Source organism: Homo sapiens, chromosome 14 (genome assembly GCF_000001405.40).
Source record: "Homo sapiens chromosome 14, GRCh38.p14 Primary Assembly".
Lineage (NCBI taxonomy): Eukaryota > Metazoa > Chordata > Mammalia > Primates > Hominidae > Homo > Homo sapiens.
The window spans coordinates 99,893,760-99,921,574 of NC_000014.9; the positions used below are offsets into that span (position 1 = coordinate 99,893,760).

At 42.2% G+C, this 27,815-nt stretch overlaps 1 protein-coding gene across 12 annotated transcripts in view, besides 1 other annotated feature; it reads left to right on the forward strand.

Annotated features, from left to right (window-relative positions):
• Positions 1-27,815, forward strand: part of EML1 (EMAP like 1) — a 204,339-nt gene that overhangs the window by 156,038 nt on the left and 20,486 nt on the right. For 8 of the 12 annotated variants that reach the window (XM_005267398.3, NM_001375411.1, NM_001008707.2 and 5 more), the window contains 12 exons: positions 870-999; positions 3,386-3,535; positions 4,474-4,543; positions 7,170-7,280; positions 13,879-13,974; positions 15,586-15,720; positions 16,483-16,582; positions 17,663-17,817; positions 20,420-20,545; positions 20,807-20,938; positions 24,023-24,090; positions 27,030-27,118. In XM_005267398.3, the coding sequence (XP_005267455.1) occupies positions 870-999; positions 3,386-3,535; positions 4,474-4,543; positions 7,170-7,280; positions 13,879-13,974; positions 15,586-15,720; positions 16,483-16,582; positions 17,663-17,817; positions 20,420-20,545; positions 20,807-20,938; positions 24,023-24,090; positions 27,030-27,118 (1,362 nt within the window). The remainder of the gene's footprint in view (positions 1-869; positions 1,000-3,385; positions 3,536-4,473; positions 4,544-7,169; positions 7,281-13,878; positions 13,975-15,585; positions 15,721-16,482; positions 16,583-17,662; positions 17,818-20,419; positions 20,546-20,806; positions 20,939-24,022; positions 24,091-27,029; positions 27,119-27,815) is intronic. The other 4 variants (NM_001440377.1, NM_001375412.1, NM_001440376.1 and 1 more) reach the window with 1 other exon arrangement.
• Positions 15,953-16,247: a silencer, noted in NCBI's record as "tiled region #1474; K562 Repressive non-DNase unmatched - State 21:Repr". NCBI's record gives its function as "represses a minimal TATA promoter and a strong SV40 promoter by Sharpr-MPRA in K562 cells {active_cell/tissue: K562}" and the evidence as "EXISTENCE:reporter gene assay evidence [ECO:0000049][PMID:27701403]".

Sequence of the window (27,815 nt, forward strand, 5' to 3'; positions counted from 1 at the left end):
TGCAGTGAAATTTCAGAATTCAGCGAGTTCTGAATCTGAACAGAATTCACCAGGAGCGGAGCTCACAAGACATTTTCTTTGCCCTTATCATATCCTGAGAACTCCAGTCAGAACACCCCAAGATGTTCTTTTTGAGGTCTAGGAGTTACCCCGTGTTGATACGTTGTTGATATTTACTTTTGTCCCTATGATTTATTGAAATATTAAAAGTTATTTTATTATAGAAATGTTCGTTCTGAAGAGTTTTGCATCCTGATTTCTCTCTCTAATGGGTCTTTTGTTCTTTTGTTTTCCATTTCTAGATTTTCTTTGAGCATTTTCCTTTCTGCATTGCATCCTAGCATGCACTTCTGCTGATTTTGTGTTCTTTACACTTGAAAGAATTGTTCAGTTAAAAGATACATAAAGATATATTTTTACATTGCAATATAACAAATCCATTTAAATATTGAAAAATATTTGTGAATTTGGATATTGAGATTGTGTATACATTGAACTCAAAAACTTTAAGTGGATTTCTTGTGTTAGTTGAATTTTGGGGGTGGTATTTTTTCCCCTCCTGATGATAAAAGAAAGTAAACAGTAAAATCTCATGGAAAATCATTGTTGGAATCAAGTTCCTTCCTGCCTTTTACAATTTCGTAGGTATCTCATGTACTTAAGTAAACAGAATATCAAAAGCAAACAAGATGCAAACTTTTGTTTCAAACTGTTTATTTTTATGTTACTTTTTTCCCTAGGATATCAATTAGAATGACAGAAGGGTAAAAGTTTCTCTTTTATACTGAAAGGCTAGAGAGGATAAAGCATTTGTTTTCAGGTACGCTGGGCACTGAGGTATCTTACTGAAATCTTTGTTCTTTTTGTAGAAGAAGGCTATGTAAAAATGTTTCTTCGTGGACGCCCTGTTACCATGTACATGCCCAAAGATCAAGTGGATTCTTACAGCTTGGAAGCAAAAGTAGAACTTCCAACCAAGAGACTCAAGCTGGAATGGGTGTATCCTTTATTCATTGATTAGGTCTCACATGAAGTTATCAGTCAATCAATGCTTGATGTTAACTGTAGAAATTCATAAAACTTAAGTCCTCTTAAGCTTTTAAAAAACAAAATGTTTTACTGTTACTTTTGAAAACTTAATGTAACAAAATTGACTATATGTTAGAGACCTACAGAGTTCTAACAAAGTAGGAGCTTCATAAGAGCGGCTTATTATCAGGAGAACCAACTTATCATTCCTGAACGAAATAGCTGTGGTTCTGGCTCAAATACATGTTCATTATTTTGCTGAAAAGAAAATATGAAGATGTTATATGATTGTATGAGTGATTTTTTTCTTTGTCAGGAGAAAATGAATCACTAGTTTCTGGTCCGAATTTTATTCTTTCCAAAAGAATGACAATAGTAGTTAGAAATATATAAAGAAGTGAACAGTGAAAATAATCAAGAATGGGTAGAATTTTAGATTCTAATGAGAACTGATTTTTTTTTAAGAGATAGTCTCTCCCTATGTTGCCCCAGCTGTTCTTGAGCTCCTGGACTCAAGCAATCTGCTCGTCTCAGCTTCCCAAAGTGCTGGGATTATAGGCATGAGCCACCATGCCCAGCCAAAAGCCAATTATTTTTAACAGGAGCTATCATATACTTAGTCAACTCTTCAGGGACAGATGGAAAACTAGGCACTCTCTATATTTATAAGGAAACAACAGTGACAATGCAAGAAAATATTGTCCTTATGATTGAGGAAATGGGAGTATCCAAAATTGAAACTAAACCACATTGGCAAAAAAGTTTTTAAACCCAAAGAAAGAGGGGTACTCTGAAAGGAGGACTAGCATTCTCCCCTTAAACCAAGTATGGACTTGGCCAGCCTTAGGAGCCAAACTTCAAGTGTGACCTTGACTGAAGGGATGATAGAAAAATATGAATACCAAAGTACTGAATGAAGGGAGTCAAGTGAATGACGTAAATGAAATTGACATATCACGTAGATATCATCCTACTTTAAAAAAAAAAAAACTAGCTACAGGGATGCATCCCTGTAGTCCCAGCTGTTCAAGAGGCTTAGATGGAAGGATCCAGGAGTTCAAGTCCAGCCTGGGTAACTTGGCAAGTCCCTGTCTCAAAAATACATATATTCATATCAATCAAAAAGGCTCCCCAAAAATCTAGGCCACAAAAATCTGAATCAACCATATAACTAACGTTCTTGAAACAGAGGTGCTGGTAGCTTCATGGCATGAGGTTTGGAAAAGTGAGCTTCCAGGGGAAAAAACAACTGAAAGATAAGAAAATAGAAACTGTGAAAAAGGTGAATTAATTGTTGATTATTTTTCCATTTTCTTATTACTTTAGAGGAATCCTGCAGAGACCACCTTTCAGTCTATGCAGATTTTAAGGGAAAAAAAAAATTTTTTTTCACCTTCAAATATTTGAGTACCTGTTTAATGCCAAGCCTGGAACACAAATTATAAGATGTTGGTTTAAATTTAAGCTATTGTGACTTCATTTAGAATAATTACTATTTGAGATTATGGAATCATATTCCTTAGAAATTTTTTAAAATTACCACCTGTACCTAAATTTCTCCCCCAAAATACTTTTTTTTTTTCCAGATTCAAATGTCATAGGCATTTACCTGCACCTGTTTTGGAATCTATCTTGATACATGAAATTGAAGTGCTTCAGCTCGTCTTTAAGTCAGTAGTGGTTTATTAAACGGTTATATCACATCTGGAAAACATTATTCAAAACATTTATTCAGCCTACTTCCTGTTCATATTTTAGAAGATGTAAAGCAATGAAATTTGCTCTAAATAAATGGCATTTTTTTGGCCATTATTTGGCATCTTGCCGGGTTACTTTTTACATCCAAGTTGAAGTGATATTTTGTTCTCAAAATAAAATAATTTTCAAGGTTTGGAAATATAATGCAAAAATTTTAACAGGGATTCTTATCCCAAAGGATCTGAGGGGCCTGATTTTTTTTTTTTTACCTTTTATGTATGTTTGTGTGCATGTGTGTGTGTCATTTGTACCCTTTGTAAGTACTTTTACCATGTTTAAAAAAGGAATTTTTTAGTAAAAATTTAGCTCGTAGATTACAGTAAAAAAATTAATAATTGACTCAATAGCTTTCTAAAAATAAAACCAAATCATTGTGAAAATATGTATTCACATTACATCAATGACTGTTTCAACTTTACTGCATGCCTTTTGGGGGTCACATGTATTTGTCATGGAATATTTGCAATTTAATGTTGTTTAAATTAGTGATGCTGATGGTAATAGTTATATGGTATTTTATTGCCTGTGCCTGTTGAATAAAGCTGATGTTTTGTCAGCTCTTAAAGGGAAAAAAAATTTTATCTTGACATCCACAAAGCTATGGGTACAGGGGTCGAGACTGCCGTAACAACCTGTACTTGCTTCCGACGGGAGAGACCGTCTACTTCATCGCATCCGTGGTGGTGTTATACAACGTGGAGGAGCAACTGCAGAGGCATTACGCTGGCCACAACGATGACGTGAAGTGGTAAGTCCTGAAACAGGTCATTCCTGCGACTCAGAAGGCGAAGGTAGGAGGATCGCTTGAGGCCAGGAGTTCCAGACCATCCTGGGCAACAGTGAAACCCTGTCTCTAAAATAAATAAATAAATAAATGTGATTCCTGTTGCACAGGTGGAAATAGCATTAGCAGAACACGGTCAGTATTGGGACATAACTAAAGAGAAGGAAGAGGGTCTGAGGAAATGAGGTCTTTGGGAGAGCTCTTCTGTGTGGTCTCCTTGTGGTCCGCTCACTACTGCGCTCCGTGAGACCCCTCTCATGTTTAATTTTCCAGCCTCACCAACGCATGAGCTTCACGGACCACATTGTCTCAACAAACAGCGCCACCTCTTTGGAGGCCTTCTTAACACATCATGTATTAAAGGCTTCTAATTTGGGTCTTTATTTTTTGATAAACATAAAAATGTGTTGCCTCATGTTTGTGGCTGAGTCGGCTCTTCCCATAATTCATTTATAGCTTTTGGTAGGCATATTACATATCTTGGAAGGATGGATGCGTGAAGAGATGGATTTATATATTTGTATTTGTCCTGGTTCCTTGGTCAATGATAAAAATCCTGTTCACGAAAGATGGTATCTTTCCTATTTATGTACTCAACATGACTTTTTAATAAAGATTGTAGACTAATGTAGTGGTTCTGAGATTGAAATGGTATTTTCCCAGCAGAGGATGCTTTTTCCTTCAGTTTGAAAATTCTTAAGAAGAAATAAGGGAATTAAGATGAAATGAATTAGGTACTAGTTGTCTAACGTCGTGGTGCTCAGAGAATTTGTCATGAGTCTGTAAGAAGTTAGGCATTATATATTTCTTATATTTAAATTTTTGACTAGATTATATTTGAGCAAGGGAAAAGTAAAACTTACCTGCAACATGTAGATGTTTTGTAAATATCCTTTTCTTAGCCTAGCAGTTCATCCTGATCGGATCACGATAGCAACAGGACAAGTTGCGGGCACATCGAAGGATGGAAAAGTGAGTTACGTTACCTTTTCATTGTTTCATAATGAACTGGTAACACAAAGTAATTTTTAGAAAACATTGTGCTGCTGAGTAAGGCTGCTTAGATATAATTATGGTATCTGAAAACTTCTGAACCCCTCACTAGAATTTTTTATTGTAAATTAGAAGACTTATTGTGTGGCAGGGTGCGGTGGCTCACGCCTGTAATCCCAGCACTTTGGGATGCCAAGGCAGGCTGGATCTCTTGAGGTCAGAAGTTTGAGACCAGCCTAGCCAACATAGTGAAACCCGTCTCTACCAAAAATACAAAAATTAGCCAGGCGTGGTGTCACATGACCGTAGTCCCAGCTACTCTGGAGGCTGAAGCAGGAGAATCACTTGAACCCGGGAGGCGGAGGTTGCAGTGAGCCAAGATCATGCCACTGCACTCCATCCTGGGTGACAGAGAGAGACTAAGTCTCAAAAAAAAAAAAAAAAAATACTGACTGTGACCTTAAAAATCCCTGGAGCTCATCTTAATTTCATCAGATTTTTAAATAGCATTGTTCTGAACAAAGAATTCGCTAATTCTTAAAATGTTTATTTATATGATAAGTATTAAAAATATGAAGGTAAACATTTAATAAAGTTAAAATTATAATAATAATTTGAATGTACAACATTTTGCCAAATTTCAGCCACCCTCTGCCCTGTCCTGTGAATGTCGTTTAACAGTCGTGACTTTAACCCGTGAAGTTTGTGTCTGTGTGCAGTCACAAAAGCTACTAGGAGGTTTTTAGCACAGATTTTGCAAGCACTTCAGCAAGACTTTAATTTGCATTTTAAGGCGTTAGAGAGGGAGCTTGTAGCTTTTTTGATATCTACTTTTATATAGCTTGTTATTGCATAATATTTTATCTGAAACTAATTTAAGTACATACATTTTATCAACATGTTTTCATCCAGAAAAAATGAATACTACCATATTTCAGAAAATATTTTAGTAACATTGGATTTTAAATATTAATCTTATGCTATTTTCCATTAATTTTTTTTTTTTTCTTGAGACAGGGTCTCACTCTGTCACCCAGGCTGGAATGCAGTGGCACAATCACGGGTCATTGCCACCTCTGCCCCCACAGGCTCAAGTGATCCTCCCACCTCAGCCTCCTGAGTAGCTGGGAGTACAGGCACACGCCACCTCGCCCGGTTAATTTTTGTATTTTTGGTAGAGACAGCGTTTCACCACATCGCCCAGGCTGGTCTCAAACTTCTGGGCTCAAGCGATCTGCCCACCTCAGCCTCCCAAAGTACTGGGATTACTGGCGTGAACCACTGCGCCTGACCTGCATTAATATTTTATACTTGAAAAGAGTTAACAGAAATAATGGAAATCAGACCACTATTATGTAAATAAATTTACTTAAATTGAATGGGTCTTTCAATTTTTTTTTTTTTAATGTTAAATGGCTTTGAAAAATTCTTTGAAATTAGTGGTAAGCTATTTGTTCCTCCCTCTAGTGGCTTAAAAGTATATTTCAGTTTCTGGCATTGAAATTGAATCGGTACTTTAGAACTAGAGAAAAATATTATAGTTATCTTTCAGTTTACCCATAGAGAAATCCAGAGAGGCCTAGTGAATGCCCGCGGACACCCAGCTGCTTAGAGATTAGACTGAACTAGAACTTGGTTCACCTAACGCCTGCCTAGTGTTTCTACTAGGTCCAAGGCCAGCACCTTTTCTTACTGATAAATCTACTGATTGCTCTATGATGTTTTCTTCTATTAAGGAAGAGAAAAATTAGCGTAAATAACCTAGGAACACAGTTGAGAGGATTTTAAACCAATTATAACAATTCTAAATCTTATTTGTACATAATTGATGCCTGTTTTGCCCAAGAATATTAAGCTCTTTTTTTTTTTTTTTTTTTTTTTTGAGACAGAGTTTTGCTCTTGTTGCCCAGGCTGGAGTGCAGTAGTGCAATCTTGGCTCACTGCAACCTCCACCTCCCGGGTTCAAGCGATTTCCTGCCTCAGCCTCCCAAGTAGCTGGGATTACAGGCATGCACTACCACGCCCGGCTAATTTTTTGTATTTTGTAGAGACAGGGTTTCACCATGTTGGTCAGGCTGGTCTCGAACTCCTGACCTCAGGCGATCCACCTGCCTCAGCCTCCCAAAGTGCTGGGATTACAGGCGTGAGCCACCACACCTGGTCTGTTAAGCTCTTAATATTATTTGGTGGTGACCATCTTATGAATTTAGGCATGGTGACACCTTAGCAACAAAACAGACTTTAAAAGAATAACCCATATGTGAGATTCCATTTTACTTGTCATTTTTCATTTCTAAAATTCAGACACATTTAGATGCACAAATTAAAGTGTCAGTTCCCATGGTACTATTGTCAAAAATTGGCCATTCAAATTCTAAAACTTGGTAGACCTCTCCTTACTGTTAAATTATCAACAAGGCCCTCCACCTCCTGAAGTCATCGGGAATGTTTTATTTACATAAAAAGGCAGACTCCTGAAATGCAGAAAAAGATCTTTTGTTTTGACAAAGTCCGAGTTACTGCCCAAGTAATCTTGTAGCTTCAAGGTAAAGACACATGTGTATCACCATCACAATTGATGGCTCTGTGTTTCTTTTCTGAACAGCAATTGCCCCCACATGTGCGCATCTGGGATTCTGTGACATTGAATACTCTCCACGTCATTGGAATAGGTTTTTTTGACCGAGCAGTCACCTGTATTGCATTCTCAAAATCTGTAAGTATGTGCCCTGTGGATATTGCTGTCTTCTTCCACAGGAAGTAGAGAATCAACTCAGGGTTGAAGAGGGGGAGTTGACACACTCGATACCTGCCTGGGTGTATGTACAGATTTGGACTCTGAAACATTCCTGCTTCCCAGAACCCCTCAGTCAGAGGTCATATGCATGTCTCATCAGGGACACACACTTCCTTCCAATCAGACATCTCCAGCCACATGGGTTTGGTGATGAAAACAGGCCCCCAGAGATATCGTCCTCACTTTCCTTAAGGCAGTTTATGTGCTCTGGCCTTGAATTTCACCTGCTTCTTTCAAGGGTGGCTCCAGCGTGTCTGTCTCTGCCATCCTGCTACTGGAAAGGGGTCCCGATCCAGACCCCAAGGGAGAGTTCTTGGATCTCTTGTAAGAATTCAAGGCAAGTCCATAGAGTAAAGTGAAAGCAAGTTTATTAGGAAAGTAAAACACTAAAAGAATGTCTACTCTATAGAGCAGCCCTGAGGTCTGCTGGTTGCCCATTTTTATGACTATTTCTTGATGATATGCTAAACAAGGGGTGGATTATTCATGCCTCCCCTTTTTAGACCATATAGGGTAACTTCCTGATGCTGCCATGGCATTTGTAAACTGTCATGGTGCTGGTGGGAGTGTAGCAGTGAGGACAACCAGAGGTCACTCTTGTCGCCATCTTGGTTTTGGCGGGATTTAGCCGGCTTCTTTACTGCAAGCGGTTATATCAGCAAGGTTTTTATGACCTGTACCTTGTGCCAACCTCCATCTCATTCTGTGACCTAGAATGCCTAACCACCTGGGAATGCAGCCCAGTAGGTCTCAGCCTCATTTTCCCCAGCCCCTATTCAAGTTGCTCTGGTTCAAATGCCTCTGACATTTCTCCCCTCCCTTTTATAAGAGAATCCTTAATCCTAAGGGTTGTAAAGGGACAAAGATCCATCTTCTGTAACTTCTTCGGGCTGAATAGGGATGATGATATTCCTGCCTAACTATTAGGGTCTCTTGTATTTGGGGTAGAGAAGAGCTCAGTCAGAAGACGTCAGTATGGCAAGGTGATATCTGGAAGATTATTAAGTGTTCAACTTAAGAAAACATTGAGTAAGCTTATCCTGCATTCCTACACAAAGAGTGCAACAGCAATATATTCCACAACAGTAAAACAAAATAAACAAAATTATCCCAAGTAAACTAAGTAAGAAGGCTTTTTATTAACTGGGCAACTATTGGAACCAAGCTGATATGGGGTCGCTAGCTGATTCCAGTGTGTCCAGAATTGGAATACTGATCCAGATATTTACATTACCCATTGCTTTTATTTCTTCTGAGCCGCAGTCAGAGATCACTGGTTGGTTCACAGGAATAAGCAGGGTTAGTTTAAATAGCAGAAAAAACTTAAAAACGACTGATGAAACTAGAATCTAATGACAAATGTACCATAGTTCTTGAAACATAATTTCTGTCTCCAGTCTCCCATTTTTACTAAAGACAAACCATAACAGGACTGATTAGTTTGGAAAAATAAGCCTTAGTCTTGTATACTTGGCTTGATTATTTGTATAAAGTGCAGCAAGAATAATTATTTTTCACATAGGCTTTTTAAATTGGCTTTGATGGAACTCTGTTCCATAAGGAATCTCAGATAAGACCTTTTTTAAAGCCAAGCCCAGCCATAGGTTTATATTCTCAAATACCTATGGGTTGGGTAAATTCCTCTCCTCTTGGGGGGTCCCAAGATAACTTGGGGCTCCTGGGCCTGTGAGAAAGTGACATTCTTTACTTACCACAGATCAGGAACCCTGTACAGGGACTGTGGAGACAAGGTACAAGGCCAGTTTCCCCCAAGGGGCTTCTATTGACTCTACAATTCAATTTGATTCCTTAAAGGAAAGCATGCCATTCCTGTGAAAAAAATAACCAGTTTCTCCAGTTGTGTCCTGTTACAAACAAAAACAAATTCTTTACAATTATGCAATTAACTATATTGCCATAAATTAAGAATACTCACAAATAGTTTCTAAATTCTGGAGAGATCAGGTTGAGAGAAACAAATATGCTTCAAATTTTGTTCATAGCAGTATACTTTACTTAATTGTTAAAAGCTCTAAATAGCTCAAAAGAAAAGTTTTCTTGTCTTTGAAAAAAGCAAAGGATCAGCAACATTTTAAGCAAAGTCAAAAAAGATGATTTCAATCTTCTATTAGTTTGGTTCATGCAGTTAACTCCTGTTCTGCTTGATATTCAGGAACATTTCAGCTCCCCATGAGAGTCCTGAAAGTTTTTTCCTCTATTCTCATGTTACAACTTTGAAAGTAATCAGAAACTTGCATTCAAGAGCACCTGTTAAAGGCCTATATCTGATTATAAGCCACCTTTTAAATAGGACCAAAACAAGACAAGAATTGTCTGTGGATGACAGAAAGTCTTAGGACAGCCACAATTAAAGCCACAATTGACAAGGAAATTTGGTTACTCCTGGAGCATACAATAATTTAACATAACAAGTACAACTATTAATAACATACACTAAGTCATATCAGAATTATAGGAGTTTCACCTAATTTTGGAACACATGCCAGTAACATATTTATACAAATACAGCCCAAAGAAAGCCAATTTCCTATTTGACAATGCTTCCTGTATGACTTTTATACCAAATAAGCCAAATTTCACCTTTACATTAGTGTACTATTGATGTTAAATATTCTTAACAAAATCTCATAGATAAATCTATTCATTTTTTTTTTTTTTTTGAGACAGAGTCTCACTCTGTCACCCAGGCTAGAGGGCAGTGGCATGATTTCAGCTCACTGCAACCTCCACCTCCCGGGTTCAAGCAATTCTCCCACCTCACCTCCCTAGAAGCTAGGATTACAGGTGCACACCACCATGCCCAGCCATTTTTTTGTATTTTTAGTAGAGACGGGTTTCACTGTGTTGGCCATGCTGATCTCGAACTCCTGACCTCAAGTGATCCACCCGCCTCGGCCTCCCAAAGTGCTGGGGTTACAGGTGTGAGCCATCGTGCCTGGCCAATGTATTCAATTTTAATCACTGTGACCATAAGGTAAGATTTTTATAAACCTTTTATTAATCCTTTACAATTTGTGTTGAAAAGCAGATCATTGCTCAGAGAAAAACCTGTTGTGCTTTTATTCCAATGTTTAATTTACAGAAAAACTGATTAATACCCCTTTAACTTTAGCCAATATGTTCACACAGAATTTCTTTACAAGATTAATTTCTCTCAAACTTTCGACAACTTGCTTAAACTTTGAGCTTTATTCTATCTAATTTAAAACAATAATTTAACCTTTTAATCTAGGCAAAAAAAAATCCACATTTCCATGCCTTCTTATAATCTATTACCAAAAGACATTTCACTTTCTTTATACACCTTACATATAAAACAGTTTTTATTTCCCAAAAATTACTTAATTCATGTGAACTGAAAGGCATTACACTTTTTACTTTTCTTACAAAATATTTGATTTAAGCTTATTATTATTATTACACCAATTAATCAAAGCTCTTTCATATATAAACATCACACACATAATACATGTAAATACACAGACAGAAAATAAAGGACTCATTCCCTAAGCCAGGAATTGAACCCTGATCCCAGGCTGCCACTGTGATGGCAGAGACCAAGATAAAGTACTGCCACGTGTTACAAGGTCAAGCTCCCAAGCACACGAAACAAGATAAGAGAGAAACTTTATCCAGTTTTTTTTCAGGAACCTGCCACAAAATTTATAACTGACCAGTTTGCTGTGCTACTTTGAACAGTGGGCTTATAGGGTCCTAGGCCCACATTCTATCCTATGGTACCCCTCTTTATGACAGAATGATATAGAAGACAAATTTATAACACAAAGCACAACAGATTTTCTACAGCTTAAGATTACCCTCACAAATCCTTTTTTCCCATTAATCAAAACTTTACAGGAGATAAATAGTGATTTTTACCATTCATTCAGCCAGTTTGCAGAGAGAGAGAGAGAGAAAGGCCAGAAGTCTGACTGGTAAGAAATTCTTACCATTTTGCTGGCATGCCAGGCTTCTGGGTTCCCTTTCCCTGAGGCGGCCCTAGTGATCCAGCTGGCTGCACCACAGCCCTAGGGGCCAAGCCACATCATAAAGGAAAATTATCTTTTTCTGTCCTGGCCAGAGCAAAATATGTGTGACAAAACATAGATATTAGCCATTCAGCTCAGCACCCAGCACCCAAAATCAAACTGGCAGGGCTCAGACATGCCCCTGGTCGGCCCCATCGTTGTTAATCCAGCCTCCAACCAGGAGCTTCAACTTACGGTCTCTGGGCAAGATGGTGGCCCTGAGTAATAGAAAACATAAGAAAGGGAAAAAGGAGAGAGAGAAAAGCATTCCCTGTGGCAGGGCGGGGAAGGTGAAGAGCTCAGGGAGGCCAGAGAAAGACCTGCCCACTGCAGTGACACTGAAAAGTTCAGGTGGCTGCCTGTTGATAACGAAGGGATCTTTCCCAGCAGTCCCGTCAGCTCTTAAATTTCCCCTTTTGGGGAGGAAAAAGTTCCCCATGTCCCATGATCTTGTACATGCCTAATTCTGTCACCCTTAGCCATCAGCAAAGAGTGCAAGGCAGATAAACCCAAAGATGATAATAGCAGTTAACGTCCCATAGTGCCAAGCCTGTTCTTAGCTGAAAAGGACTTTACTGAGAGGGACCTCTAACCCCCTAAATCTTAGGAAGGACTCTAACCTTCCTAAGTTGGGCCTGGAACCCAAGGTCTGTCTAGCGTCCTTGCCTTTTATTAAGAGGGGCCTTTAACCCACTCTGTCTTAGGAGAGACTCCTAAGTTAGGCCTCTAACCCAATCCCATCCTTTGCCCAGGTGTGTGCCCCCCCCTTACCCAAAATCAGCCATTCGGTGTGTACAGATGATTTTTCTTTGCATCAGGGGTCTCCAGTATCATCCCTTTGGGGTTCACCAGAAAGATGTTACCAGACCCCACCACTTACTAAAGTTAGCCTTTGGATTGGAGGTTTCCTCAGTATTGTCCCTTCTGTGGTCTCCAGAAAGATGTCACTGGACCCCACCACTTACCCAAAGTCAGCGTTTGGGTTGGGGGTTTCCTCAGTGTCATCGCTTCATGGTCACCAGAAAGATGTGATCATAAAGGGGTCCCAATCCAGACCCCAAAAGAGGGTTCTTGGATCTCACGCAAGAAAGAATTCTAGGCGATTCCATAAAGTGAAAGCAAGTTTTTTAGGAAAGTAAAGGAATAGAAGAATGGCTACTCCATAGACAGAGCAGCCCCGAGGGCTGCTGGTTGCCTATTTCCATGGTTATTTCTTGATGATATACTAAGTGAGGGATGGATTATTGATGCCTCCCCTTTTTAGAGCATATAGGGTAACTTCCTGACGTTGCCATGACATGTATAAACTGTCATGGTGCTGGTGGGAGTGTAGCAGTGAGGACAACCAGAGGTCACTCTTGTTGCCATCTTGGTTTTGGTGGGATTTAGCCAGCTTCTTTACTGCAAGCTGTTTTATCAGCAAGATCTTTATAACCTGTGTCTTGTGCCAACCTCCTATCTCATTCTGTGACCTAGAATGCCTAACCATCTGGGAATGCAGCCCAGTAGGTCTCAGCCTTATTTTACCCATCCCCCATTCAAGATGGAGTTGCTCTGATTCAAATGCCTCTGACAATCCCAACGTGGCTGGCGGGCAGCCTGGCTGCAAGCAGGGGTCGGACAGGGCCTTGTCATCTTCCAGGCTTCCTCAGGACGTGCTGGTTCAGCAGACCCACCCTACACTCTTTCAAACCATTTCAACCACTTCAGAAACCCATATTCACACACATGTGCACGTGTTCACATGAAAAGACCCCCTTGCACTCAGGCCCCCAGAGCCGAGGCATTGTGCAGCCCCACAGCAGCCACCTTCACAGCTGCTAACAGCCCCTGTGCCATGCCTGCTGCAGGCACTGTCTGCTCTAGGAGGGGCTCTTGTTTTCATGGAACCCAGTGGTGAAGAGACACCCCACTGGCCCTTCTCTTCCCCAATTCCTGTTTCTTCATTCCCCATCATTTACCTGCTCTTTCTGTCTGGTCAAGAAAGCATGTCTCAGCCAGGCCCAGTGGCTCAGCCAGGCACAGTGGCTCACACCTTCTAACCAGCACTTTAGGAGTCTGAAGTAGGAGGATTGCTTGAGCCCAGGAGTTTGTGACCAGCCTGGGCAACATAGGGAGATCCCATCTCTACAAATAATAATAATAAAGAGTAGCTGGGAGTGGTGGTACACACCCGCGGTCCCAGCTACATGGGAGGCTGGGGTAGGAGGATTGCTTGAGCCTGGGAGGTCAAGGGTGCAGAGAGCAATGATTGCACCACTGCACTGTGACCTGGATGACAGAGCAAAACCCTGTCTCCAGAAAAAGAAAGAAAGAAAGAAAGCAGGTCTCAAAAGCAATGGATGAGTATTCTTTAACTACAATGTAGCAGACTCTTTATTAAAAATGAAATTTGATGTTTATTTTTAATCATGTTCAACCCACTTTATTCTCAGATATAGTCTTCCTGTGAATAACTTTCTTTTCAGAATGGAGGAACCAATCTCTGTGCTGTGGATGACTCCAACGACCATGTGCTCTCTGTATGGGACTGGCAGAAAGAAGAAAAACTAGCAGATGTGAAGGTCATGCTCCAAGCCTTTTTTGGGCTGCATTAACATTTTCCCATTCAGAGCCGCCCTGGCATAGTGGTAGCCCCCTTTCAGCGGGCTCATTCCCACCCCAGCCCTTGTGTATGACGCCTTCACCTTAGAATCGTTTGGCCCCGATCCCTGTCCCATCATGGGACTTTGACCCCAGGTCCTGTTAGGGTTTTTTCTCTTTTCGCCATGTCTGTAAGATTGTTTTCTTCCTCATTTCATAGCCACTACCCTTTTAATTCATCCAGTCATGTATTTGCTGGCTGTTCCTTTCATTTGCTTGGCACACCCCGAGTGCCTGCCACGTGCTCGCACGGCACGTGGAGGCCCGGAAATGTGCTCAGGCGTGAGGTGGGCTTGCTGCCTGAGCCCCTGCAGCCGCAGGAAGGGCAGGTATGGGCAGGGGCCGCCAGCACGGGGGCTCCTCCAAAGTGGCACAGACTCAGGAAAGACCAGCGGGAGCCCCGAGCTAAACCCCAAATCCTTCCCAACAGGATTCCTCCTGCGAGGGGCCCCTTGGGACTTCTTTGACCGCCTCTAATCCGTTTTGCACAATATGTCAAATTCCCTTGCCTTGACTGACCTTTTTCTATTTCTATTTTCTATTGGAAGCCTATTTTTATAGACTCGAATTCAGATTTCTCATCTTTGCATCTATTAACCTTAGATAACCTTAGTCACCTAACTTTCTCTGCTGCATGTCTGCGAGGCAGACCTTGTATTCTAACCAGGTCTGTTCCCTGACACCTGTGTTCATTCCCTAGCCCCACCTTCTGATATTCTGGGCAGGTGTTTAAGTTCTTCTTGCTACGTTGCTAGGTTAGAAGGCATCAGAGGCAGGTTATTATCCAGGCTCAAGAATGTGTAACTGCATTATTAAATAGAAGCAGTGATCAGAGCCCAATCCAGTAGGCCAGGGTGCGGGTCTTGGAGGTTAGGGTGTGGGCTGAAGGTGGCGGAGGTGGCACCTGAAGTGCTAGATCTACTCCATGGGACCCCAGGCCGGTTCACTGAGCCACAGGCAGAGTCCCAGGAGTCAATCGCAGGAGGAACTCCCTGGGGAAACGGGCAGCCAGAGTCAGCCACGAACAATGGACCTTTGTAAAATCCATTCCAGGGCCCTCCCTGGAGATGACATTTACCAGATAGGGGGTGAGGCCTAGAGATCTGCATTTTACCATTTCTGGTGATTCCATTTGTTCGGCCAGACTGGGAACCCATGACTAGCAGATGAGAGCAAATGCTTGCAGTTCTGAAGTCCCTCTGGTCCCAACTCCCTCCTCAGCAAAGCATGCTGCATGCCCACCCCATGCCTGGCCCTGGGAGAGGCCCTGGCATAGACAGAGGACTCCTGGGTGCTCCCTGTCCTCAAGGGCTCATTGTCCAGTGGGGGAGACAGACAAGGAGGAGGTATTAAGGCCCACACCAGCATATGCTTGATGTTTTTAGCAAGATGGATTCAATGGGGGAAATAATAGGCATTGTGCTTGCCTTGAATTTCTTATTTATTTGTGGCTCACATTTTACTTGTTTTCCTACATGTCTCTTACGCGTCTTAAGAGATGTGAGGCATCCGAGTCCCTGTTTTTCCTATAGTGCTCTAATGAAGCTGTGTTTGCTGCGGATTTCCACCCCACGGACACCAACATCATAGTTACTTGTGGAAAATCACATCTCTACTTTTGGACACTAGAAGGAAGCTCCCTTAATAAGAAGCAAGGATTATTCGAGGTAAAGTTAAATTATGATTTTTGCTTTATTTTTCTCTCGTATATGTGATTGGCTAGATGCATCTCTCTGGGGGCTCTGGTGATCAACACAATCCCTTGGGATCCCTCACATAGTTGGGAAGCGTGTCACACCTGGTAGATAACGCTGGTAATGAAGTGAAGAAAAGGACAGAGCAAGCCTGGGTGGAGGGCAGGGAAAGGACCTGGACCCAGGGAGCACCAAGCCTCCCACAGTGGCACTGGCTGCAGAGAGTATCAGAAGATGAAGTCATCGGGAGGCAGGCAACCTGCCTTTGCAAAAGACATTAGAGACTCCCTGTGCCTTTTGTCTGGACGTTGTGGGGCTGCGAGAGCACCAGGGGACAGCACCTTTTCCCGGGGGTCCATCTGCCACCACCTCCCTGAGGCTTGTTTCGAGGACCCCTTTATTCTGGTGCTCGGACCCTGCCCTTTAGGCTGACAGCATAGCCCCACCCTTCTCCCCGGTCAGTACCCTCCTCCGCTTGCTGTCTGCAGCTTTATGATTCCCCAGCCACTTGGGGTTGCTAGAAATCGCTTTGTCTTAGAGCAGTTAATCTCACAGCAGAAGTTATGTAATAGTAGACAGAAATGCAAGGTGTGCAGGGTGGTCACAGAAGCTGACACTATCCAGCTTGGGACCACTGCGAATCTAGATGTTATTAGTACAAATGAAAGGTTGTCTGGAATATATATATGTTGTATGGATTAAATATATATATAATTTTTTTACTACATTCTACAGAAACAAGAAAAGCCAAAGTTTGTCCTCTGTGTGACTTTCTCTGAAAACGGTGACACCATTACTGGAGATTCAAGTGGCAACATCTTAGTATGGGGAAAAGGTAATAAGTGATTGTTCCCAAAACCAATGGTTTTTGGTAATGTTGTAAGAGATCAAACATGAGTGCTTTAAGAATTGTCTATTAATACAACGTACAGGAGTAGGATGAAATTTCAAGTTACAGAGACACACACATACATGTGTGCATGTGTAACTTGAAACCACAAAACTAGAACAGAGGAAAAGCGGAGAATAGTAAGAGTTACTGACCTTACAGCATTCTGAAAGGCTCTTTAAGCCCAAGCTATTATGATGGAATTAAATAGCTTTATTAGGAAATCCCCTGACAGATTATGATGAAATTAATGACTACTTATAGGTCTGTAAAATATTTAAGTTACTATCCTGATTTATCTAGCATGTGGCAGACATTTATTGAAAGCTAATTATGTGCTAGACACTGTGAACATACAACTGAGTCAGACCCAAATCCCCTGCTGTCTGTGAGCAAACAGTTTGCTAAGGGAGATGATGCATCACTCAGAAAGCATGCGTCCAGTTAAGTCCAGTGAGCATTTATGAGCACTTACCCCGTGACAAGAAAAAAGGGAAAATCCACCATCCCTTTTCTCAAGGATCTTAGAGTTTGAATTGGGGCTGAAGGTGGAGACGGACTTGTAAATGCAATTTCAGAAGCATTGGTGACATTTCCAGTATCCCTGCTGCTCTTGGCTCTAGGTGTCTTATTCACTGCTCACTTAATCCTTAGAACAATCCTGCAGGGTAAGCAGCAGCCCCATTCCACCAAGGGGGAACTGAGGGTAGAGTAACTAAGCAATTTGTCCAGAGAAACAGCTCACTAGAGAGCTGGGATCTAAACTCAGAGCCCACGTTCTCAGCCGCGTGGTGCTTCAACCATGCGGCTTCAACAATGCATATTTTCCTTCATTCTAAGGTAACCCATTTCATGCTTGTCTGGTGCTCTGCGAACGTCTAGAAATTGGATCCTTCATAGATTCATATTGCAATGATGTGCTCACGGACAATATTGCGTTTTAAAACCTAAGTCAGATGAGATTAGAAAATGGGCAGAGGCAACCTTTTGACAATGTGCTAATGATGGTTTTCTTGGTGTGTTTAGGTACAAATCGAATAAGCTATGCAGTTCAGGGGGCCCATGAGGGTGGCATTTTTGCACTTTGTATGTTAAGAGATGGCACACTGGTGTCGGGAGGTGGGAAAGACCGAAAGCTCATTTCTTGGAGCGGAAACTATCAAAAACTTCGTAAAACGGAGGTAAGTCATCAAGGCTACTGCTAAAATTTGTTTTTAACCTTAAACTGTTATCCTTTTTTTATTAGTTTGAAATCTGTATCTTACAGTTTTGAAAATTGTTTAGGTGAAATCACATTATATGGGAGCAATGTATTTTATTAAAATCCTGAGGCAGGTTAAATATAACTAATAAAATAGAATTAGGTTTATAAAACTTGAGGTTGTAACACACTTCATATTTAGAATATTTTTATTCTCAATTTTCCAAGGGACTGTTACCCACATTTTGATTTATTATAAAAATCTGTCTTCTCTTTTAACTTTTTCTTTTTCTTTTTTTCTTTCTTTCTTTTTTTTTTTAGAGCAGGGTCTGGCTCTCACCCAGGCTGGAGTGCAGTGGTGTGATCACAGTTTACTGCAACCTCCCCCTCCTGGGCTCAAGTGATCCTCCCACCTCAGCCTCCCAAGTAGCTGCGACTTTAGACACACACCACCACACCTGGCTAATTTTTGTAATTTTGTAGAGATGTTGCCCAGGCTGGTTTGGAACTCCTGAGCTCAAGCGATCCTCCCACCTCAGCCTCCCAAAGTGCTGGATTACAAGCATGAGCCACCACGCCCAGCCTCTTTTAATTTTTAATTTCTAGCATGTTATTTTGGAGACATTATTGCATTGAGTGAACTAGTATTTGTTGAGTATCTACTTCGTACATGGCCCTCAGCTAAGTGCCAATGTGCTCCCTAGGGCTGTGACTCCTTTTGATACCCGGTGTACCTCCCCATTATCTACTTGGCAGCCCTGCATTCCGGTAGGCACCAGAGGCAAGATATTTAATATTCCTTCTGCCCACTCAGTGAATTTTCTCCCCCAGGTTCCAGGAAATCGTGAGCAGACACTGCAAAATTGGCCTCATTCTGAAGGGTGATGCTTTTCATCCCTAGCTTAGAATGGACAGACTTTAGGACTTTGAACCCAGATACACACAAAACACTTATATTTTACATCAGAGAGCAACATGGCACCACCCTCTGGCAGTGTGAAAATTTGGTTCTGTTGATTATTTCCCTTAATAAAGGAAGATCTTCATCTGAGCTTTGGAAATCACTTCCCCTTGCCTGGAGATTCTGTTGTGAGAACATTTTTAATAATAAGATTTGACCAGCATTTGGTTGAACATATTGTGAATTGCTAGAGTCATAGACATGCCCAAGTCATATTATAACTGTAAAGAAAGCTCCAAAGCCCCATCTAATTTCATAAAAGCTATTCACTGTTTGTTAGTATCTGATTCTTCCTCATTAGCATGGGTCATCATCAACTTGACTCAAATCTGTGCTAACATGCCACACTGGAGAATGTGTGAGGGGAGGCTGCTTCTTTCCTGGAACGGGAGAGCCTAACAGCAACCGCCAGGGTCAAGCTGCAGCATTTGTTCTTTTTATAGTACAAGAACTTTGTTTCTTCATCATAGCAAATTGTTCTTAATGGGTGTATTTTGCAATTCTTTCTCTTAACATTTAGATTATTCCATATGTTTATGTCGATTTTTAAACTGAACAGAATGACATTGCCAAAGAACTTACCATTTTAAGTTGTATTATGGCAGTGTTATTATTATTATTATTATTAATTATTATTATTTTCAGACAGGGTCTGGCTCTGTCACCCAGGCTGGAGTGCAGTGGCGTGATCTTCAGCCTCTGCCTCCCAGGCTCAAGTAATTCTCCCACCTCAGCCTCTTGAGTAGCTTTCCAGCTACTACACGCACCACCATACCCAGCTAATTTTTTTTGTATTTTTGGTAGAAATGGAGTCTTGCTATATTGCCCAGGCTGGTCTAGAACTCCTGGGCTCAAGCAATCCACCTACCTCGGCCCCCCAAAGTGCTGGGATTACAGATGTGAGCTACCACACCTGGCCTATATTCTTTACTTTCTGAATTGTATCTACTGTTGCTATCAGAAATTGTAAAAAGTAAAGAGAAAACTAACCAGTAGCATTCCTTATTTTTAAATTTTGTTGAGGAAAATGCTTTTTCTTAACCTCATTCTTGCTGATGCTTCTAAGATATATAAAATGTTTGTAGTTTAAAAATAAGGCTTAGGGTTTTGATCACTCACTCAACAGTTGGCTGTGGTATCTGTTTTTTTGAGATGGAGTTTCACTCTTGTCACCCAGGCTGGAGTGTAGTGGCGTGATCTCGGCTCACTGCAGCCTCCACCTCCTGGGTTCAAGTGATTCTCCTGCCTCAGCCTCCCAAGTAGCTGGGATTACAGCCACCCACCACCATGCCCAGCTAATTTTTGTATTTTTAGTAGAGACGGGGTTTCATCATGTTGCCCAGGCTGGTCTCCAACTCCTGACCTCAGGTGATCCACCTGCTTCAGCCTCCCAACGTGCTGGGATTACAGGCATGAGCCACCAAGCCTGGCCAGCTGTGGTATCTATGTGAAACTCTCCATATATATGTATATACAACATATATATTTGAACGTACATTATATACATATGTGTATATAAAACTGTTATAGGGACTATCATTATGATAAGTGTTTTGAATGACTGAGCTAACAACTGAATGAAATTGTACATCTTTTCTTTTCATATGACTTTTCAATGCAGATTCCAGAACAGTTTGGTCCAATACGGACAGTGGCCGAGGGGAAAGGCGATGTGATCTTGATTGGCACAACTCGAAACTTTGTCCTGCAGGGCACTCTGTCAGGGGACTTCACACCCATTACTCAGGTACGATCCCACTCAGCAGGCCCGGCAAACACTCTCATTTTGCATTATATCAGACCCTAATCAAGCATTACAATCAGGTGCTTTATACTACGATAACCTTCCTCCACCCCAGAGTGTCTGTGGCTGCTGAAAGATGGGAGGAGAGAAACTGTTGAGAGCAGTTATGAAGTCAGCATGAAGCCTCGGTTCGTCATCCCTTACGGCTCCTGAGTGCGAACTGTAGTATCTCAGAGCGCTTCTGTTTGTCTTGGTTATTTGTAGGGTCACACTGATGAGCTCTGGGGACTGGCCATCCATGCCTCAAAATCTCAGTTCTTGACCTGTGGGCATGACAAGCATGCCACTCTCTGGGACGCTGTGGGTCACCGTCCCGTCTGGGACAAAATAATAGAGGTAAACATGCACATTACATTTCCATTTTTCTTACAGAAATTCATCTGGAACATGTTTATTTATTTTTTGCATGAAATCAACAGTGATACAAAGTTGTCCCAAAGCAAATGTTATTTATCTATTTAGAGTTGCCTTAACATTGCAATTGCATTTAACAGTGTTACTTTTAACATTGCCTCGTGGCCTCAGCCATGTAATTTTGAAGTTTACTGTTGAAATTTTCTGACAAGAAGTTGTTCTTTCTGAGTTCATTGTCAGATTTTCTGAGTACAGTCTCTCAACCATCCTAAGAGCTGAAAAATACTTGTTATGAGCCTGCATTCTATTTACAGTGTACCCTTTGAATGGGAATTTACAAGCTGTACTAAACACACGATTGAATATATCTCTACATTTTGAGTTTGATGGTAAAGTGAACTTTCGTTTGAAAGTCAGCTGGGCACGGTGGCTCATGCCTGTAATCCCAGCACTTTGGGAGGCCAAGGCAGGCAGATCACCTGAGGTTGGGAGCTCGAGACCAGCCTGACCAACATGGAGAAACCCCGTCTCTACTAAAAACACAAAATTAGCCGGGCATGGTGGTGCATGCCTATACTCCCAGCTCCTTGGAAGGCTGAGGCAGGAGAATTGCTTGAACCCGGAAGGTGGAGGTTGCAGTGAGCCAAGATCACGCCATTGCACTCCAGCCTGGGCAACAAGAGCAAAATTCTGTCTCAAAAAAAAAAAAAAAAAAAAAAGTCAACATCTCTGTGAATTTTGCAAAAGAAACTCTGATGACCTGTCAGAGTGTTGAAATGCCCTTTCCCCACGTGTATTACTTGAGCACTGACTGTTTGCATGCCAAGCACTGTGCGTGTATTATCCTTAATCCCTGTAGCAGCTCTGCAGGTTGAAGAGGTTTTTTTTTTAACTCTGATTTTATTGAATAGGAAATTGAGGTGTAGAGAAGTTAAATAACTTGCCAAGGTCACTAAGTTAGTGAGTGACCTAGCTAGTGTTAGAACCCAGCTCAGTCTGACTCCTAAACTCTGGTTCTTTCCACTGCATTGCACTGCAGCGAATCGGAAGCTCATTCTCTGTTGCCGGTGCCCTAATGATCTGTGCAATCCCATTGCACAGAGGAAATAGCCCTTCTGTAAACCAACACATCATCCTTTCATCCCCCATAGAGTTACTGGCATGTCCCAGGTGCTAGGTTCAAGTTTTGGCTCCCTTCCCTTCATTTTCACGGAAGGGGTGCTGGTCACTGGTGGCCAGCTGAGCCGTGAGGTGGAAGGGCCCAAGGGGCAGGCACTGCCACTCAGAGAGCAGGTGTGGCCCGTGATGGCAGGAAAGGGCTAAAGGGAACAGTGTTATATGTTCTACCTATGCCCTGGTGGTCCAGGAGGGCTGAAGGCAATGACAGCTCCTTTACCAGGCTGTTAATCATTTAGCCTAACATAAGGGTTGGAGCTCTAAGCTGGAAGCCAGGGAACTGCAATGAAGTTCTAGCTCCTCTGCCTACTGGCCTTGTGACCTTGGACATCTGTAACTCAGTGTCCACTTCTCAAAATTGTTACGAGGCTTAGATGAATGACACAGACAGAAGTGCTTTGTAAATGGTAAAGCTTCAAGTGAACACGATTTCTGTTTGTGTATTAGTGGCAGCTCTGAGCTTAATTACAGCTCCCACTGTAGAAAGAAAGCATTGAAATAATGTAATCATATATCAAGTTTCTTTCTCTTGGTTTTTTAGATTATCCAGTGGATCTCAGGGCCTCCTATTTTCATTCCCATTGCTACTTTTCTTCCTGATCTTCCTTAATCTCTTCTCTCTTCATCCTAAACACTCCTGCAAAGTGCCCTTTATCTAAAACACATGTTCAATCATGTCACTCTTTTTATTGAAAGGACAAGACCATTCAAAGTGTTCTTATTTCCTAGTGATCAAAGTCCTTACCATGGCAGTGACATCACTAATGTGATATACTCTGTGCTGTAAGCCCATTGACCTATCTGCCACTCCTCAAATATGCCCACAGCTGTGTTGCTTCCATCACTTTTACTATATTACTGCCCCCTTCACCATGGTCCAAAAAACGACTGGAGTGGCCACATCTCACCTTCACCAGTGATAATTCTTCCTCTCCTGGGAGGCCCAAGTCCAGTCGTCTGTACCGCGAAGCCTTGGCCCAGCTTCCCAGTGTCACCTCATCCCTCCCTCCCCTGTGTATCTCTTTCATGGATCTCTTTCATGGATCATTCCATCTTGTATCCGAGTTAGTGATGACTGTGTGTGTGTTCCACTGGATCAAAACCTAGAACATGCCTTGCTCATCTCATGATCCTTCCAGGCCTCCATAGTGTTTTGCACCCAGTGGGCACTCACCCAGTCTCCGTGTCATGGAGTTGGGTGCCGTGGTTGTCTTTCTGGAGCAATCAAGCACACTATTCAGTGAGCTTACCACTCAGCACGGGGAGTCAACTGAAGGGGCTGGGTTCTATAAGCTGTGACTTTGTAGAAGGGCATTTACCTGTCTTTCATCAGATTACTGTAGAAATGAGAGGATGTAAGACAAAAAGGGAAAAATCCTAAAAGGACAGAAATTTAAGTCAGGCTCAATGGCTTACACCTATAATCCCAGCACTTTGGGAGGCAGAGACAGGAGGATCACTTGAGCCCAGGAATTCGAGACCAGCCTGGGCAGCATAGGGAGACTCCATCTCTACAAAATTAAAAATTAAAAAATTAGCCAGGTGTGGTGACACACACCTGTAGTCCCAGCTGCTTCAGAGGCTGAGCCAGGAGTGTCACTTGTGCTGCAATAAGTCATGATCATGCCATTGTACTCCAGCCTGTGCAATAGAGTGAGATCCTGCCTCAAAAAAGGGTGGGGGTAGGTAGAAATTTAGCATTATTGAAACGCAGCATTCATTCAAGCAGGAAAACATTTTTCTCTAGAAAAGAGACTTTTCAAATAGAGCCATATAGCCCTAAGGAATTAGAAGTGTGAGCGTTTGTGTGTGCACGCACTCACGTGTGTGTGTTTTATGCTATAGTGTTCTATCTGTTCATCAATTTACACTTCCTTTAAAATATTTTAGGATCCAGCTCAGTCTTCTGGTTTTCATCCTTCAGGGTCTGTGGTTGCAGTCGGAACACTCACTGGGAGGTAAGTCCATGCCAACAGCGCTTGTGCTTGCAAAGCTTATGGAAAAGAGGCCTGTTGTTTCTATTTCCCCAGGAACAGGCCCCCGTTCAGCTCTTGGCTACATGTTCGAAGCTTCTAATGACTTACCAAGAATTAAGTTAAAAGCGAAACTTGAAACAGTGGCCCATTACATTTTGAGCCTTGGGGAATCTGAGGAAAGCCATAGACCCTCTCTCCTGGAAAAGGACCCTCTACCTCCACTAGACACACACACACTTTTTTTGTTTGTTTTTTGAGACAGGTCTCTCCTTGTCACCCAGACTGAAGTGCAGTGGCACAATCACAGCTTACTGCAGCCTCCAGGGCTTAAGTGATCCTCCCACCTCAGCCTCCCAAGTAGCTGGGACTACAGGCATGCACTGCCATGCTCAACTAATATTTTATCTTTTGTAGAGACGCAGGTCTCACTGTGTTGCCCAGGCTGGTCTTGAGCTCTAGCTCAAGCAGTCCTCCCACCTCGGTCTCCCAAAGTGCTGAGATCACAGGCATGAGGCACCACACCCAGCCACACACACATTTTGCCTACAATCTCGAGGATTTGTGGAGCTTCTCAAGCCCTGATCTTGAGGCTGTGGGAGAAGCCTTGATTTTGGAATGAAGCAAGAAAACATTTCAAAGTGCTGAGCATTTAAAAATGCTTTTTCTACTCCTGGTCACAGTGGCTCACACTTGTAATCCCAACCCTTTGAGAGGCCTAGGCAGGAAGATCGTTTGAGGCTAGGAGTTCGAGACCAGCCTGGGCAACACAGCAAGACCCTATCTCTATAAAAAATTTAAAATTGAGCTGGATATGGTGGTCCACATCTGTATTAGCTACTCAGGAGGCTAAGGCAGGGGGATCTCTTAAGATCAGGAGTTCGAGGCTGCATCGCACTATGATTGCACCACTGTACCCTCGCCTAAGCCACACAGCGAGACCCCATCTCTAAAAAAAATTAAAAATAGAAAATAAATGCTTTTTCTAGCTGCCCTTTCAAAATTTCAGGAACTGCCCAGACCCTGAGCCTCATATTCCAATTGAGTTAATACCTATTCACCTGGCACCTCCTACACACCGGATGGTGGGTCTGCGTTTGCAGCTCAGCTTTGCCACTTAGCAGCAGTGTCTTTGAGCCGGTTACATAAGCTCTCTGAATTTGTTTCTTTTTCTGTAAATTGTGATATTCCCTGCCTGGCTGTGTTGCACTGAGGATCGAAGGAGACAGTGCACACAGCACCTGCCAGGGCTGCCCATCAGGCACTGCAGGGGTTATTATTATCATTGCTTTCCAGGTTTTGATTGAACATTTATGCTGCTCATTGTACTGTATACATTTACTGTGGTTTCAGTCAAATATTTTTCCTCCCACCCTTCCTCTCTAAAAAAGCGTAGCACTTAAATTCTGTTGCTATGACTGCAGAGCCTATATGGATAAAGAAAGTGTAGCCCTTTGCAGGTCATAGGTAGCAATATCTTAAGTATTGGGCTCCATGTAGCCAACAGAATTCTTCATGAAAACGTTTGTATAGCCACACACACACATACGCATGCACACAGACACACACACACACACACACACACACACACACACACACTCCACCTCCCATTTGACTCTCTTTGAGACAGGTAAACCTTCTAACTCATCAGGCTCCCACCTTCTGATGACTGGCCTCCCAATAGGCTGACGGATGCCAGCATGCCTACTGTGTGTGTAGGACACGGTGACAGTGCTCAGAATCACAGTGTCCCATGGTGGAGGAGATGGATCGGGTCACCTAATCCAGCCCCTCATCTGTACCTCTTGCCATTCAGGTCCTAGGTTAGGCTTAGCTCCCGATGCTGTTGATTTAACAGGTCACTTCAAAGCCATGTTCTAATCAGCCCCAGCCTTTATTAAGGTTAAATAGCACATTAAAGGTAAATGGTTGTTGAAGATGCAAGAAATTGGCACTGAAAAGCAAAATCCACATTTCTGGGGGGCAGGACATCTGACAGTGCCTGGCTAGGGGGGCTCCTGTGGAAGACAAGGGACACTCACTCTGCGTCAGTGGACATGCTGATGGGATGTCCTCAGGCAGGTTAGAAACTGCAGCAACAGTTTATCCATTTATCCTTATCCATTTATCCATTTATCCTGAAAACACCAGGGGCTCACCACCACCCCTTGAGAATATAACAGGCAGGAGAGTTCAGTCATTCTGATGTTAACACTCATTTAGTGGGTACTGTGTGCTTATCAGAGGATACAAAGCACTTCCATGTCCATTATCATTCGACTTTAATATTGAGCCTGCAGAGTAGACCTGGGCTCTTCTCCCCATCTCACCACTGAGGAAATGGCCCAGCGAGGTGAAATTAGAAGACCAGTCCTCCACTCCAATTTCTCCCATTTGCTCTGTGCTTTCCCTCGCCCTGTTGGTTGCAGGCTAGCATCCCCATAAGGCCTGTACTCTTGGCCTGCTCTGTCTGCAGCACCATTGGGAACACCACCACCCCGGAGTTGTCCCAGCCCCATCCTCCTGCATGGTCCTGCTTCGCCCTGGAAACCTGGGTGAGCTCTTGCAGGTGGTCCTTCACTGCTTCCTCTCACCATATGCCCTGGCACTAGGTATTGGCATCTTCCCTGCCCAGAGCTTTCTCTCCATGTGTAAATGACAAAGCACAAACACAGAGAAACCATGTCATAGTGTTGATAATGGCATAGTTTTGAATGCTAGCCAATATGCTGTTCCTTTCATTAGAAAATGCTTATATATAGGAAATTTTCTTTGAATGAAAGCTGGGAACAAGCTTTCTTATTAAGCAAATTCTGAGTATTTATTAAGCTTTTATGATTAACAATTTTTATTCATCCCACTATTATATAATCTTCATTTTCTTATTAAACAACTTACTGTGCTTTTTCTCATGTTGATAACAGGTGGTTTGTGTTTGACACAGAAACAAAAGACTTGGTCACCGTTCACACAGATGGAAACGAACAGCTCTCTGTAATGCGATACTCACCAGGTTAGACTCCAAACCATTCACTACTTTATTTTTTTAATCAACTTTTATTTTAAGTTCTGGAGTCCATGTGCAGGATGTGTCGGTTTGTTACATAGGTAAACGTGTGCCATGGTGGTTTAACGCACAGATCAACCCATCACCCACGTATTAAGCCCAGCACCCATTAGCTGTTGTTCCTGATGCTCTCCCTCCCCCTCGCCCCCCTCCAACAGGCCCCAGTGTGTCTTGTTCCCCGCCCAGTGTGTCCATGTGTTCTCATCATTCAGCTCCCACTTATAAGTGAGCCCATGCGGTATTTGGTTTTCTGTTCCTACATTGGTATGCTGAGGATAACAGCTTCCAGCTCCATCCATATCCCCACAAAGGACATGGTCTTGTTCCTTTTTATGGCTGCATATTATTCCATGGTGTATATATACCACATTTTCTTCATCCAGTCTACTATTGATGGGCATTTGGGTTGATTCTGTGTCTTTGCTATTGTATTCACTACTTTAAAATCCCAACAGAATTGAGATTCTGTGTCAGTGTCTTTAAAGAAAAAATTTCACAAGCCTCCTCAGAGTAAAATTTAAATTAGACATGCACATAATTATGGCATTTAGGGTTCTTTTCCCTCCTTTGGGTCACTGTGCTTGTGTTATGGAAAATTTCAAACATAGACAAAATTAAACAGAATGGAATAATGAACCCCATG